The 15,313-nt window shown below is 44.3% G+C and overlaps 1 protein-coding gene across 4 annotated transcripts in view, besides 2 other annotated features; it reads right to left on the bottom strand.

The window, feature by feature from the left end:
* Positions 1-15,313, bottom strand: part of GALNT17 (polypeptide N-acetylgalactosaminyltransferase 17) — a 581,456-nt gene that overhangs the window by 314,549 nt on the left and 251,594 nt on the right. For all 4 annotated transcript variants that reach the window (NM_022479.3, XM_011516467.4, XM_017012521.3 and 1 more), the window contains exon 3: positions 10,650-10,816. In NM_022479.3, the coding sequence (NP_071924.1) occupies positions 10,650-10,816 (167 nt within the window). The remainder of the gene's footprint in view (positions 1-10,649; positions 10,817-15,313) is intronic.
* Positions 8,710-9,215: an enhancer, noted in NCBI's record as "NANOG hESC enhancer chr7:70854822-70855327 (GRCh37/hg19 assembly coordinates)". NCBI's record gives its function as "activates a minimal SCP1, AML or CMV promoter by ChIP-STARR-seq in primed H9 embryonic stem cells {active_cell/tissue: H9 hESC(primed)}" and the evidence as "EXISTENCE:reporter gene assay evidence [ECO:0000049][PMID:30033119]".
* Positions 13,623-14,266: an enhancer, noted in NCBI's record as "H3K27ac-H3K4me1 hESC enhancer chr7:70849771-70850414 (GRCh37/hg19 assembly coordinates)". NCBI's record gives its function as "activates a minimal SCP1, AML or CMV promoter by ChIP-STARR-seq in naive and primed H9 embryonic stem cells {active_cell/tissue: H9 hESC(naive and primed)}" and the evidence as "EXISTENCE:reporter gene assay evidence [ECO:0000049][PMID:30033119]".

Below are 15,313 nucleotides of genomic sequence, written 5' to 3'. Positions count from 1 at the left end.
ATGTTGGCCAGGCTGGTCTCAAATGCCTGACCTCAAGTGATCGTCCCACCTCAGCCTCCCAAAGTGCTGGGATTACAGGCGTGAGCCACCACGTCCAGCCCCCACTCCCACTTCTTGTTTCAGCCCACACAAATCACTCTATTGTCAAATCCAGTAAGTCCAACTCAAGTGCACAATGTCTGATCAGCTTTTTAAAAACTGATAAAATGGACATAACATGAAATTTACTATTTTAACCATTTTAAGTATACAGTTCAGTGACATTAGGTACATACCTATTATTGTGCGATCATCATCTATTTCCACAACTTTTTTCATCTTTTCAGACAAATCCCATACCCTTAAGCAATAACTCCCCATTCCCCCTCCACCCAGCCCCTGGCTGTCTAATCACTATTTAAGAGATAATCATAAGCAGAAAAGACTCACCAGATATCTAAGGAAAGCCTCCAACATGAAAGATAGAAACTAAACATCAATGAGAAAAATGTAACTTTTAGAAACAGACTATGCAGGGAGAAAAAGTTAAAACAAAAAATATTATTAACATCCTCCAGGGACAAGAAAACATATTGCTTCCAATAAAAAAGGACAATATGTTATAAAAGGAGCTTTCAGAGAATAAAAATGATCACTTGGAAGTAAAACTATGATAGCAGAAATAGAAAAAATGGATAGAAGGGAAGAATAAAAAAACTGAAGCGAGAATAAAGAAAACAGAGCAAAAATATCAGATAGCGAAAGATAAGATAGCAGAGAAAAATAAGAAAATTAGAGGTTCAATTTAGGAGGCCCCAAACTAGAATAATGAAAGATGCTGAAAGAGAGAACAGAAAAAATGAGGAGGAATTATCAATTAAAATTCCAAGAAATTTCCAAAAATGGATAGACAATAGATTGAGGATGGAAGCCACTAAATGCCCCATCTAATCAATGCAAACTGACCCATATCAAGGCTCATCATTGTGAAATTTAAAACTATGGTGACAAGATAAAGACTCTACAGGCTTCCAGAAAGGAAAAAAGAACATGCAAAAAACCAGGAAATCAGAATGCCTTTGGTTCTTCTAAAACAACAACAACAACAACAACAACAACAACAACAACAAAGACAATAATGGAGCAAAACCATCAAAATTCTGAAAGAAGGCAACATCTAACTCAACGACACCATCATTCACCTAGAAGATGAGGCTAAAGCCATCTTTAGAGGCATGAGTGAACTTGAAAGATTTTCTCTTCCTTGCAGTCTCTCTTAAGAAGCTTCCAGGTGTTGTGTTCCACCAAAATAAGAACATAAACCAAGAGAAGAGCACAGGAGACAGCACAGAAGAGGGTCAGAGAGTCCACAAGAAGACAGTGAAGGGAGATCCAAGACGACAACAACGCACAGCCACAGAGGCCAACCTCCATAACAGGGCAGTGTGACTTCAGATAGATGCAGCGAGAGTTGTCATTTTTAACACTGCTCCTGCAAATGTACCTCATTTTAAGCTGAGGATGGATTGCCTGAATGAGTATAGCACCCATTCTTATCTATAATTGGATGTTCTGACTACAGGCTTTCTGTCTACTGCCTGGATCAGTGGAAGACATTCACTGTATCATATCTCGTATCTCTCAAGACATGTTCTGCTTTGACCTGCTCCTGAGGATAGGCAGTAGGTCTTGATAAGATCAGAAGCAGTAAATACAGAGAAGCCCATTGCATTCTGTCCAGATTTTTGCCTTAAGTCCAGTACCTGGTCCACACAATAGCCCACTATGGTGAGTCCCATGTTTACTGAGCTCACTCATGACTTAGCCGTCTTCTCCAGAAGAGGCTTTTATAAACCCTTAGGAAGGTATATGGGTGAATGTTCTCATCCTTGACATGGTAGGAAAAGAGATATTTATTAATAAATACATTTTTAAAAATAAATAGAGGAGGTAATTAAGCAAGAAAAATAGAAAGTATCCAGATTGGAAAGTAATAAGTAAAATTATCACTATTTGAAGATAACACAATATTCTATATAGAAAGCTCTATAGAATCTACAAAAAAACCTACTGGAGCTAATAATCAAGTTCAGCAAAGTTAAAGGATACAACATGAACATACAAAAATAAGTTGTGTTTCTATACAATAACAATAAATGATGCAAAAATGAAATTAAGAAAACAATTCAATTTATAATAGTATTAAAAAGAATAAAACATTAAGAAATAAATTTAACCAAGGCAGTGTAAAATGTGTATACTGAAAACTATAAAACATTGTTGAAAGAGATTAGAGACATAAATAAATAGAAAGACATCTATGTTCATGGATTACAAGCATTAATATTATCAAGATGACAATACTCTCCAAATTGATTTACACATATAATACAATCCCAACAAAATTCTAACAGCTATTTCTCAGAGAAATGTTCAAGCTGGTCTTGAAATTAATATGTAAATGCAAGGAACCCAGAATAGACATAACAATCTTGAAAAAAGAACAAGGTGAGAGGTCTCACACTTCCCACTTTTAAAATTTACTATAAAGAAAAAGTTATCAAGACAGTGTGATCATGCCATAAGCATAGACACATAAATCAAAGAAATAGGATTGAGAGTCCCAAAATAACTCCTCATATTTACAGTAAGTTGATTTTAGACAAGGGTGACATAACCATTCAATGAGGAAAAATTGGACTCTTGAACAAATGCTCATGGGATAACTATATATGTAAAAAAGAAAAATAGAAAGAATTTGGATCCCTACCTCAAACCATATACAAAAATTAGCTCACAATGGATATAAACCTAAATGGAAGTGCTAGGACTATAAAACTCTTAGAAGAAAACAAAGGTTCAATTCTTTGTGACTTTGGATTAGGCAACAGTTTCTTAGATATGACACCAAAAGCTCAAGCACCCAAAGGAAAAAAAGAAAAACTGGACTTTATCAAAATTAAAAACTTTTGTGCATCCAAAGACATTATCAAGAATGTGAAAAGACAACCCACAGAAAGAGAGAAAATATTTGCAAGCATATTTGCAAAAATTGGTTGCAGAATATTTGATAAAGATGAGTATAAAGAGAATAAAGAATAATTATGAGTCAATAATTTAAAAAGTCAAATAATCAATTTTAAAATGGGCAAAGTACTTGAATAGATGTTTCTCCAAAGAAGATAGACTAATGAAAAATAAGCACATGAAAAGATGCTCAAAATAATTAGTCATTAGGGAAATGCAAATCCAAACTACAAGATACCACCTTATATCCACTAGATTGGCCATAATTTTAAAAAAGTAACAATTGTCAAGGATGTGGAGAAACTGGAACCCTCATATATGAATGGTGATCATGTAAAATGGTGCAGCTGAGGTGAAAAACAGTCTGGCTGTGGAAAACAATTTGACAGTTTCTCAAAAAGTTAACCACAGAATTATCACATAACCCAGCAATTCTACTCCTAGATATGTACCCAAGAAAACTGAAAACATATCCAAACAAAAATGTGTACATGAATATTCATAGCCCTATTATCCCTAATAGCCCCAAAGTAGAAACAACCCAAATGTCTATCAACTAAACTGATAAACAGATAAATAAAATGTGCTGTATCTATACTCAGAATATTATTCAGTCATAAAAAGAATGAAGTACTTATATATGCCACAATTTGGTTGAACCTTGAAAACATTATGTTCAGTGAAAGAAGCCAGGAAAAAAGGCCACATGTTGTAGATTTCATTTATTATCAAATGTCCAGAAGAGGCAAATTTATCGTAACAGAAAATACATTAATATTTGGCAAGGAATGGGGTAAGGGTAGAATTGGGAGAGGCTACTCCCAGGTTCAGGGTTTATTTTGCAGGTGATGACAATGTTCTGGAATTAGGTAGTGGTGATAGGTGCAAATCATTTGAATATACTGAAAATCACTGAATTGTATACTTTATTTTTTGTTTTTTTGAGACAGACTCTTGCTGTGATGCCCAGGCTGGAGTGCAATGGCATGATCTCGGCTCAATGCAACTTCCGCCTCCCAGGTTCAAGTGATTCTCCTGCCCCCATCTCCCGAGTAGCTCAGACTACAGGCACGTGCCACCACACCCAGCTAATTTTTGTATTTTTAGTAGAGACAAGGTTTCCCCATATTGGCCAGGCTGGTCTCGAACTCCTGACCTCAAGTGATCTGCTCGCCTCGGCCTCTCAAAGTGCTGGGATTACAGGTGTGAGCCACAGTGCCTGGTCTATTTTATTTTTATAGTATATTTTATGGTATGTGAATTACATCTCAATCAGAAGTGAGGAAAAATAAAGAATGGCTATGCATGAACCAGTGATGGAGTGTGTCAAGTATTATGACTGTGATACCTCTGTGCACCCGAATTCCTCCATCCTGGTCACCCAAACAAAGATCAAGGCAAACACAGTAAGTTCATCATTGGACCAATGGAGCTACAAAGACCCAGGATGACCATCTGGGAGACAGAGGCCTTACAGGTTTGAATTGTTCTGGGCTTGAGTGGTAGATCCTATTGGACAATTCCAATGGGAAACTGTCAGAACACATAAAGTGGAGCAGACTGCCCAGTGTGTCCTGATGCTGAGAATCACAAGTGATCCCAGTTTAAGAAGGGAGGGGGCCGAGTGATATGGTTTGTCCCCTCCAAATCTCATGTTGAAATGTGATCCCTAATATTGAAGGTGGGGCCTGGTGGTAGGTGTTTGGGTCATGGACGCGAAAGGCTTGGTGCCATTCTTATGGAATTCAGTGAGTTCTCCATCTTAGTTCCCATGAAATCAGACTGTTAAAAAGAGCCTCGCACCTCCTCCCCTCTCTCTCTCCACTCATCATGTGACCTCACCAGCTCCCCTTCCTCTTCTACCATGAGTGGAAGCTTCTGAAACCCTCACCAGAAGCAGATGCTGGCATCATGCTTCTTGTACAGTCTACAGAACCGTGTGTGAAATAAATTACTTTCCGTTATAAATTACCTAGACTCAAGTATTCTTTGTAGAAAGACAAATGGACTAAGAAACCAAGGAAGAGAAGAACAGCTGCAAAAAGAAGATCGGGGAGAATCAGCAGAGAGTAGTGTCGGGGCACCAGGAGGAGCGATACACCCCATCAAGGAAGCTGCGTGACAATATCAGATGGTGCCAAAAGATCTGGGCAGCAAAATGCTCGCTGGACTTGGTGAGCAGTGATTTCTGGCAAATGTTGCCTGAATGATTTCAGCTGGATGTACAGAGTACAAAGAATTGCATCTTACCTGGGCTTAACACAGGCCAATGTCAATATTCAAACTGAGTGAAACAAATGACTTAAAATAAAAACAAAATTCCCTGACAAAGGAAAATCTGCAGTCTCATCTCGTCTGCTTCTCCAGAGTGCCCCGGCTTTGTACACCCATTCCCTGAGCCCATCTTGACCAGAGCTTAGTGAGTCTGAGAATAGATCAATCTGCCCTCATTAAAATGATGTTTGCAGAGATTTTTTAATAAAAAAAAAAGGGGGGCACTGATTATGCTTTACACTTCGGGGGAAAAAGCAGAACATCAACTTGTTTATACTATTGATCTTAACTATGCAAAATGTGCATTAAAGAGGGTAAGGGCATGGGCGAATGAGCAGTTGCCTCTGGTTAGTCTCTTCAGTATTTATTTTTTTCCAATTATATTTGCTTTTTGATACATTCGAATTTTCCAACAAAGAGCACGCATTACTTTTAAGATCAGAAAACAAAATTGTAAGGCTGGGAAAAAAAAGTTTTAATCAAATGTGAACTAGCAAGCAGGAACAACAATATTAATGTAAGAAGAACTAAATTCAAGGCAAAAAAAACAGAGTATGCTTCTAAGATAAAGAGAGCATTACATAATGGTAACAACCATCACTATTAATGAAGCCATGCAGATACAAATCTATAGTTGCCAAAGAAACTGACAACAAGATACCAGAAAACAAGTATTAGGAACACAGGAAGGAAGAGTCATTATAAAAGGAGATTTTAAAACACCATTATCAAAAAGACTTAAAAAAAATAAACTCATAGCCTACCAGAATACACAAAATTGATGTCTGGCAGGAATTCAATTCCATGATTACAGTGTGTGGGGGTCTTTTTAAATAGACGTAGAACATTTACAAAACTCGATAATACCAGTTACAAAGAACATCTTAATAAAATGAAAAATATTAGATTCCTCTTCTAGTTCAAGAGAAGAGATTTCTGGCCCGGGGAAAAAACATAGAGAACAGAACCAGGAACTGAAAAGAGGGAGATCATGTTAATATCGTCAACTCCCGGTCCCCTGGGTATTTGGGAGAGGAGGAGGAGGATGATGAATGGATATTGATTTATGGTCTGGCTGAACCAAATACCTCCTCCTCCCATTTTCTTACTCACTGAACATCTTCATGTAGAACTGAAATGTGAACCATTAAAATGGGACTCACAGACAGGGCTCAAGGCGTGGTTACCTAACCCAATGGTTCTCAAAGTGTGCTCCCCACACAAGCTACGTAAGCATCAAATAGGAGCTTATAAGAAATGCACATTTTCAGCCTTACCCCAAGCCTCCTGAAGCAGAACTTCCTCCAGGGTGGAGTCCCAGGGGGTTCTTACACTAAAACATTTGCTGCTAAAGGTGTATAAATACCCCAGCTTCCTCACCCTTGGAGCAAGTTAACTCTGAGGTCTGAGTTTACACTGGCTCTTGGAATTTCCCCAGTGAAATTAAGCTCCATCACCCACACTACCAATCTTTTGGGGATGCTTTCCCTTCACATTCTTACTTCCCCAGTCCCCTACTGGTGCTCTCTTCACCTCCCAAATAAACTACTTGCACTCTTGATGTGAATAAACCCATCTACTTGAAGATGTTTATTTCAGGGTCTGCTTCTGGGGGAAACTAAATGAAGATACCTACTATATGGTTTGAATATTTGTCCCCTCCAAATCTCATGTTGAAATGTGACCCCCAATGTTGGAGGTGAGGCCTGGTGGGAAATGTTTGGGTCATGGGGGTGGATCCCTCATTTGTGGCTCGATGCCTCCTTCATGGTAATGAGGAAGTTCTCACAGAGTCTGGGACCTCCCCACCACTCTCTTGTTCCCTCTCTCATCATGTGACACTCACCTGCTCCCCTTCCCTTCTGCCATAACTAGAAGTTTCTGAGGCCTCACCAGAAGCCAAGCAGATGCTGGTGCCATGGTTCTTGTACATTCTGCAGAACCGTGAGACAAATAAAACCTTCTTTTTAAATAAATCACCCAAGGCCAGGCATGGTGACTCACACCTGTAATCCCAGCACATTGGGAGGCTGAGGCAGGAGGATCATTTGAGCCCAGGAGTTTGAGACTAGCCTAAGCAACATGCCAAAACCCCATCTCTACAAAAAATATATATATAAATTAGCTAGGCATGATGGCACATGCCTGTGGTCCCAGCCTCTCAGGGGGCTGAGACAGGAGGATCACCTGAGCCTAGGAGTTGGAGGCTGCAACAAGCTGTGATCGCACCACCGCACTCCAGCCCGGGCGACAGAGTGAGAGACCCTGTCTCAAAATCAATCAATCAATCTGTCAATCAATGAATCACCCAGCCTCAGGAATTCCTTTATAGCAACACAAAAGGGACTAATACACCTACTGAACCCACTAAGTGTCTAACCCTGTACTGGAGATCCCTGCGGTCAAGGAGCTGGAGTTATGGCTGAGATTGCCTTAACCTTCCCTTCCTCCTCCTGGGCTGGGCTCTACCTAGATTTCCTCAGGAGAGGGTGCGCCATTGGCAGTGAGTCTTCACCCCAATCCAGCCCGATCTGCAGTTCATGCTCCTCTCTGGGTGTTCTAGCCCCGGGCCACCTCCAGTCTTTTTGCCACTAGCTCACACCTGCACTTTTCTTAGTGCTACCTGGCTTCATCATGCACTCCCTTGTTGAAAGACTTACTGAGTTTCAACCACCAGCCAGGCCCTGGGAAACATCCCACCCAGTTCAGAGAGTCCACTGTGCAGACACACCACATGCTAGTAAGTGCGACAGCTAGTAGCAAGGTGCTAAGATAGCACAGAACCGGGGCCTCATTATCCTAAAGGTGTATAAATACCACAGCTCCCTCGCACTTGGAGCAAGTTAACTCTGAGGTCTGGGTTTACACTTGCTCCTGGATTTTCCCCAGTGGGATTAAGCTCTGACACTGACAGTACCAATCTTTTTACAATGGCTTCCCTTCACAGTCTTACTTCCCCACTCAGAGATCAGAGGAGGCTTCTCTGAGGAAGTGCTCTGCTGGAGACAGCTGGGAAACAGGTGGGACTTAGAAGGCTGATGAAGGGGGCCACAGGAACAGGGAGTTCGAGAGAAGAGATTTCTGGCCTGGGGAAAATATGCAGGGGTGTGTGGAAGGACTGCTGGAGCAAGAGGTCTGTGGTAGGTGCAGAGAAAGGCCACAGAGCAGAGAGCCGTGGGCATGTCAAGGAAAGAGACTTTGCTGCACAACTTAGAGGCTTCCAGGAACTGAAAGAGCCTCCTTCTCACAAGGAGACAACCATTCTCAGGTTTAGAAGAATCTATAGATAACTAATGGCCAAAGGTAAGGAAATAAAACTAAGGATGTGAAAAATCCAACAAATGACCCATCTCTGTAAGCCAGAGGTCCCAGAGAAGGCAAACCACTGGGCCCAGGTGCACCCAAGCCCTTCAGAAGAGTGGGCCGGTTCAGAAGGGGCCAGGGATATCAGCTCCCAGGCTGATTAAATAGGAGAGGCTCATTCCTGTGCTCCTCAAGATAATCCGGTTTTAAACAGGACCCGTGGCATTGCCTCCTCCTCACCATCTTCCGGACGACGGAGCAGCTTGCAGGGTAATCCCTCTCCTACCCAGCACGATGAAAGGAAGGGGTTTAGCCTACTCCTAATCCTGTAGTTGCTGAGAAGATAAGCTTTCTTGGCCTTCAGGCACTCACTCTAGCTGGCTTTCTTTTATCTCATGAGCTTGTGGGGGTGGCTCCCAGCAGTGAGCACACTGAATTTTGCAGGTTGGGATCCAACACAAAGGCACCATCAGCAGCACCCACCCCCATTGCCCTGGATGCCACGCCTTTGTCCAACTGTTAAATATCTCCAAGGATCTCCCAGGAGTTTTGTTATTGACATGCAATATTTGCCTGTTGTACAGTTTTCATTGAGCCATCATTCCTAGTAGCGCTGAATTCCAGAAGATGAGCAAACACCACTCACTTCTACTTAAGATCATTTTGGGCACAGTGGCCCAGAGGAGAATTCCAATGTAGATAAACAGTTCCTAACACGGGATGGAATTTTTTATTTCGCTTTTTGGAGAAGGACAACAAAGATGGGGTGCGGGGTGGGGAGTGGAGGAGGAATTCAGCTCTTCACTGTCATCTGCTTTAGCTAATGAGAAGAAGGAAGTTCATCTAGATCCATGGCCAGTCAATGATTCTTATGAGCCCTAGAGCAGCGGTCCTCAACCTTTTTGGCATCAGGGAGTGGCTTTGTGGAAGACAATTTTTCCATGGAACATGGGGGTCAGGGGAGATGGTTTCAGGATGAAACTATTCCACCTTAGATCATCAGACATTAGATTCTCATAAAAAGGTTGCAACCAGCCAGGCACGGTGGCTCATGGCCTGTAATCCCAGCACTTTGGGAGGTTGAGGAGGGCAGATCTCCTGAGGTCAGGAGTTCGAGATCAGCCTGACCAACACAGCAAAACCCTGTCTCTACTAAAAATACAAAAATTAGCCAGGCATGTTGGTGTGTGCCTGCAGTCCCAGCTACTCGGGAGGCTAAGGCAGGAAAATCGCTTGAACCTGAGATGTGAAGGTTGCAGTGAGCCAAGATCATACCACTGCACTCCAGCCTGGGTGATGGAGCGAGACTCCATCTCAAAAAAAAAAAGGGCAGGGGTACAACCTAGATCACTTGCTTGTGCAGTTCACAACAGGGTTCATGCTCCTATGAGAAGCTAATGCTACTGCTGATCTGACAGGAGGTGGAGCTCAGGCAGTAATTCCAGCATTGGGGAGCAGCTGTAAAAATAAATGAAGCTTCGCTTGCTCTCCTGCCACTCACCTCCTGCTGTGGAGCCCAGTTCCTAACAGGCCGCAGACTGCTATTGGTCCATGGCCCTGGGGTTGGGGACCCCTGCTCTAGAGGACTCAAGGAATAATAGACTAGGGTAAGCCTAGATATCTTCCTCTAAAAAAATCTTGGGCCGGGCACGGTGGCACACTCCTGTAATCCCAGCACTTTGGGAAGCTGAGGTGAGCGGATCACCTGAGTTCAGGAGTTCGAGACTAGCCTGGCCAACATGGTGAAACCCCATCTCTACTAAAAATACAAAAATTAGCCAGGCGTGGTGCCGGGTGCCTGTAATCCCAGCTACTCGGGAGGCTGAGGTAGGAGAATCGCTTGAACCCGGGAGGTGGAGGTTGCAGTGAGCTGAGATCATGCCACTGCACTCCAGCCTGGGCGACACAGCAAGACTCCATCTCAAAAAAAGAAAAAGAAAAAATATCCCTTCCCCAGATATGCTCCAGGGACCAGGAGACACAGATGCTCGGGCTCGCGTTGGAATGAAAGTGGCATTTCCCCCTGCTGTCATCATGTCCTGTGCACAGGTCAGCCACCCCTGTACCTTCGTCGCTGTTGTCATCCACCAGAATGATTTCCTTCAGCAGGTGTGTGGGCGTGTGATTGACGGCACTGTGCACGGACCGCAGGATCACCGACAGGGCCTCGTTCACGAAGATGAATATGATGGATATCTGGGGCAGGTCCTTGGAGTACTTGAGCTCCTTACACCTGGGGAAGGAGAGATCGGAAATGCAGAGTCAGAGGAAGGATAAAAGCTCAGGCACTGCAGCTGGACATAGTGTAAGATTTCAGCCGAATCCTCATCCAGTCGTCCCAAGGCGTGAATCACTGGTTCCCTTAGGCTTCTCCTTGGCTAAGAACTGAGAATAAACCCTAAGGAGGACAGCATTAACAGATGCAGCCCCACTTCTCCCAGATTCACCACCCTACAGGTGGTGAGTTAGAATGTTAGCTCTGTGATAGCAGGAACCTCTACTATAATATAATATGGAGCACTTAGTGGGTTCAGTAGATGCCTTCATTTGGGTTCCCCCAGAAACAGAGCCTGAAACAAAGGTTTGAGTGCAAGTAGTTTATTTTGGAGGTGAAGAGAGCATCACTAGGGGAGTCCCAGGCATCAGTCCCAGGCATATGTCTACCTGCATCTACCTGTGCCATCTACCCGCATCTACCTGTGCTGCCTACCTGTGCCCTGAGCTTCAGGGCACACCGCACAACTTCTGACTCCAGCCCCTCCATTTCCTTGCCTGAAACCTTCTTTGCTGATGCCTAAGCGATTACTCCACCCCCTAAATCTCTCAACTAGGGACCACCCGGAACACGGTGCAGTGCCTCACACCTGTAATTTCAGCAATTTGGGAGGCCGACGTGGGAGCGTCGCTTGAGGCCAGGAGTTTAAGACCAGCCTGGGCAACATAGCAAGATCCTGTACCTATAAACAATTTTAAAATTAGCCAGGTGCAGTGGTGCATGGCTGTATTCACAGCTACTTGGGAGGCTGGGGTGGGAGGATCACTTGAGCCCGGGAGGTCAAGGCTACCATGAGCTATGATCATGCCAATGTACTCCAGCCTGGGTAACATAATGAGACCCTGTTCCCCCTCCCCGCCCCCCAAAAAAAGAACACCAGGAACTGATGTATTAGGTTGGTGCAAAAGTAATTGCGGGTTTTGCCATTACTTTTAATGCCATTAAAAGTACTTTTTTGCCATTAAAAGTAATGGCAAAACCCTCAATTACTTTTGCACCAACCTAATACAAATACCCCAGCTCCCTCAGCCCAAGAGCAGGTTAAATGTAAATTTCCGCAGCAGGATTAAGCCCCCATCACCCACAGGAGCAATCTTCATAACACACCCTTTGGAGAGGGGATGTCTTTCCCTCCCAGTCTTACTCGCCACTCCCCTAGTGATGCTCTCTTCACCTCCAAAATAAACTACTTGCACTCAAACCCTTTGTTTCAGGCTCTGTTTCTGGGGGAACCCAAATGAAGGCATCTACTGAACCCACTAAGTGCTCTGTATTATGTTATACTAGAGGTTCCTGCTATCACAGAGCTAACATTCCAGGAGAGGAAATAAAACACCCACGCCAATAATCATAGTCAAGGAAAAGGACCCTACACCTGGAGGAGTGTGCAACCTAAGGCACACCAGCTCTTCTTCGGGAAGTCCTAGAACCTCCCTGGAGACAGGAGACAGGACAACCTGCTGACATCCCTCCCTCAGAATACCCAGCAGCCCTCATATGCCCGAGCGCAGTGATTAAAGGGAAGAATTCCTCTCATCCAGTATGGACTCCAGAGCATAGAGCTTTGGCCTTCTCCACGGCTCCAGGTGATGTAAGAGATGATTTAGTACCCGGGGAACGTGCTCTGCTTCTCTCAGTCACAGGTGCACCGAGAGTCCGTCCAGGGAGCACTGAGGAATTTCATTTCATGCTTACGCCTAAGCCACATTGGAAATAGCAAAGAGAAACACAGTGGAATGGAGTGCCGAGGTACCTGCACTTTAATGCATCCTTCTTCTCCTTATGGGAGATTGCACAATATATAGCACAACGGAACAGGGAGCAGAACAAAGAAAACAGATGAAGCCATGGAGTGAGAGAGAAGCAGAGCTGAAGAGGGAGCAAGAAATACAGCTGTTTCTTATGCTGAGCAGCTTGGGCTATGTCAGGCCATATTAATCATGTAGGCAATTTTCAGAAGAAAATAAAGTTTTGTTACAATATGTGTTTGTCTCCTGGAGAAGATCGTCCAGGGATGCATTGATCAAGCAGCCTCATTTTTACCATGCTGCTGTAAATCTACTTCTGGGGGCTGCCAGGGAGATTACAGTGATTATTGACGGGCTCACAGGCAGTTGGCAGGAATCATCTCATTGACTGTGTGGTGGTCCACAAAACAAGAGCACTCCAGAGGGTCCCTCAGAGGCTGGTCTCGAACTCCTGGCCTGAGGTGATCTGCCTGCCTCGGCCTTCCCAAGTGCTGGGATTACAGGCATGTGCTGCCACACCTGGCCAATTTTTGTATTTTTAATAGAGATGGGGTTTCACCATGTTGGCCAAGCTGGTCTTCAACTCCTGACCTCAAGCGATCTGCGCACCTCAGCCTCCCAAACTGCTGGGATTACAGACATGAGCCACCGCACCCAGCCAATTTCTTGATTTCTTCATCTCTGCCCTAAAAGCCCCAACTAGGAGAAGGTCCTCTGCAGCCAGGTGCACCGTGCCCATGGCCTGCTGGGGGCAAAGTATTCCCACATAGTATCACTGAGCCGGGTCAGGTTTGATTTCCCTTCAAGGGGGATGTGGGTGAGCAGAAGCCGGCTCCACCTCCCCTGGGGTTAATCAGGCTGGCGGGAATGTGCATAAAGCTCATGTGGGAGAGTGTTCTGCCCCCAAGCCCTGGAACTGAAGAATCCCAGGCAGGGAGGAGCCAAGGTTGCCCTCAGTCACTCTAGGCCTTGCAAAAGTCCTGTGCTAATGAGCCACTGCAGCACTTCAGCCACTGTGCACCAAGGCCTGACTCTGTCGTCACCATCATCCCTCAGGGCAGGGGCACAGAAGAGGATCTTAAAGGGGCTGGATATGGAAGCTGCACTGTGCATGCTCAGACGGCTGGGCAGATGACTGCCGGGCTGGGCAGGTGACCACTGGGCCTGAGCTCAGCCTCCAGCCCTTGTCTCTTGGGTCTGTCTAAGGCGAGCGCTCCCCTTTCGAGGGTCTACCTGGGTTTCTCGGTATCGCTTGGCTCACATGGGCGAAACTGTGTGGCTGATCTGCAGGCCTTCCTGGCTGCTTGCCTCAACTCTAGCTCCCAAGTGCAGTGATGCCCCTCAGTCTCTGCCCTAACATCTGCCACACCCAAGGGACAGGACCAATCACCATGCACTGCCCCACCCCAATCACCCAGAGTTCTGGGATATGAGGGCTAAAGCACATTAAACACTTCTAACAAGGCAGTTGTCAATGCAATGCAGGAGATGCTAAGTGTCAAACGAAGTATCTACAACAGCTGTAATAGATGGGCTAAGCTGGACCAGGAAGGTGGGGACGGTGAGCTCCAGGCTGGATCTGAATGGATAGATCTCACTGAATTAGACTTGCATGGTCAAGAACAGAGGGAGAAATGTGATATCAGAGCTCTACTGAGTACAGAGGCACTCTTCCTTGACCTTCCAGGAGAAATCTTGTAAGCTTTAGAGATTACACAGTAAAGAGCTAGACTCACAATGCAATGACAGCCTCACACCAGGCTCTGCAAATTCCTACCGGGCTAATTCCTATTCATTTCCAAAGTGCTCCATAAACATGCAGAAGATCATGAGCATTAATTAATAAAGTCTTTACCGCTGATGAAGGTCCGTGTTCTCTGGGCACTCAGGCCTCTCCACCACATACTACCCTCAAACTCTCAGAGCTCTGGAAGGCAACATGGGACGGAAACTGTGGGATTCTGATGGAAAAGGTAGTTTGAGTCAGAGAACACCACCTTGACATCCTCAGAGTAGCTGCAAGACAATGAGAAAACCCTTGAGAACTGCAGCACGCTGTGGACATACCCATCTTCACATCGTCTCTTTCCACTGCCAGAGGAAATTCTGCCACCAGACACCCTTCCCAAGGTCTCCACCTACCATGCGGACGTGGGATGTGCCAGTTACCACAACCATGTGAGCCAGGTTCTTAAAATAAACCTCTCTCTGCTCAACATCACTAATCATTAGAGAAATGCAAATCAACACTACACTGAGATACCACGTCACATCCATTAAGATGGCTACTGTTAAAACAAAAAACAAAAAAACAAAACAAAACAAAACAAAAACCTGAAAATAACAAGTGTTGAAGAGGATGCGGAGAAATTGAAACCCTTGTGCACTGTTGATGGAAGGGGAGGATGTTACGGCCGCTGTGGAAAATAGTATGGTGGGTGGTCCGTTAACAGTAGAGTAGCAATTCCACTTCCGGGTATATACCCAGAAGAACTGAAAGCAGAGTCTTGAAGAGATACTTGTACCCGCATGTTCATAGAGCATTATTCGCAGCTAAATGTTGGAAGCAATCCAGGTGTTCATCAATAGACAAATGAATCAAGAAAATGTAGTATGTGGAGTCAGCCTTTCTAATCCACAGGTTCTGTATTTTCATATTCAACCAACCACAGAGGGAAAAAATCCCCAAAATCAAGATAAAAAAAAC

This window comes from Homo sapiens, chromosome 7 (assembly GCF_000001405.40).
Source record: "Homo sapiens chromosome 7, GRCh38.p14 Primary Assembly".
Lineage (NCBI taxonomy): Eukaryota > Metazoa > Chordata > Mammalia > Primates > Hominidae > Homo > Homo sapiens.
The sequence above is the reverse complement of the archived record's forward strand: the minus strand, read 5'-3'. Positions and strand labels throughout refer to the sequence as shown.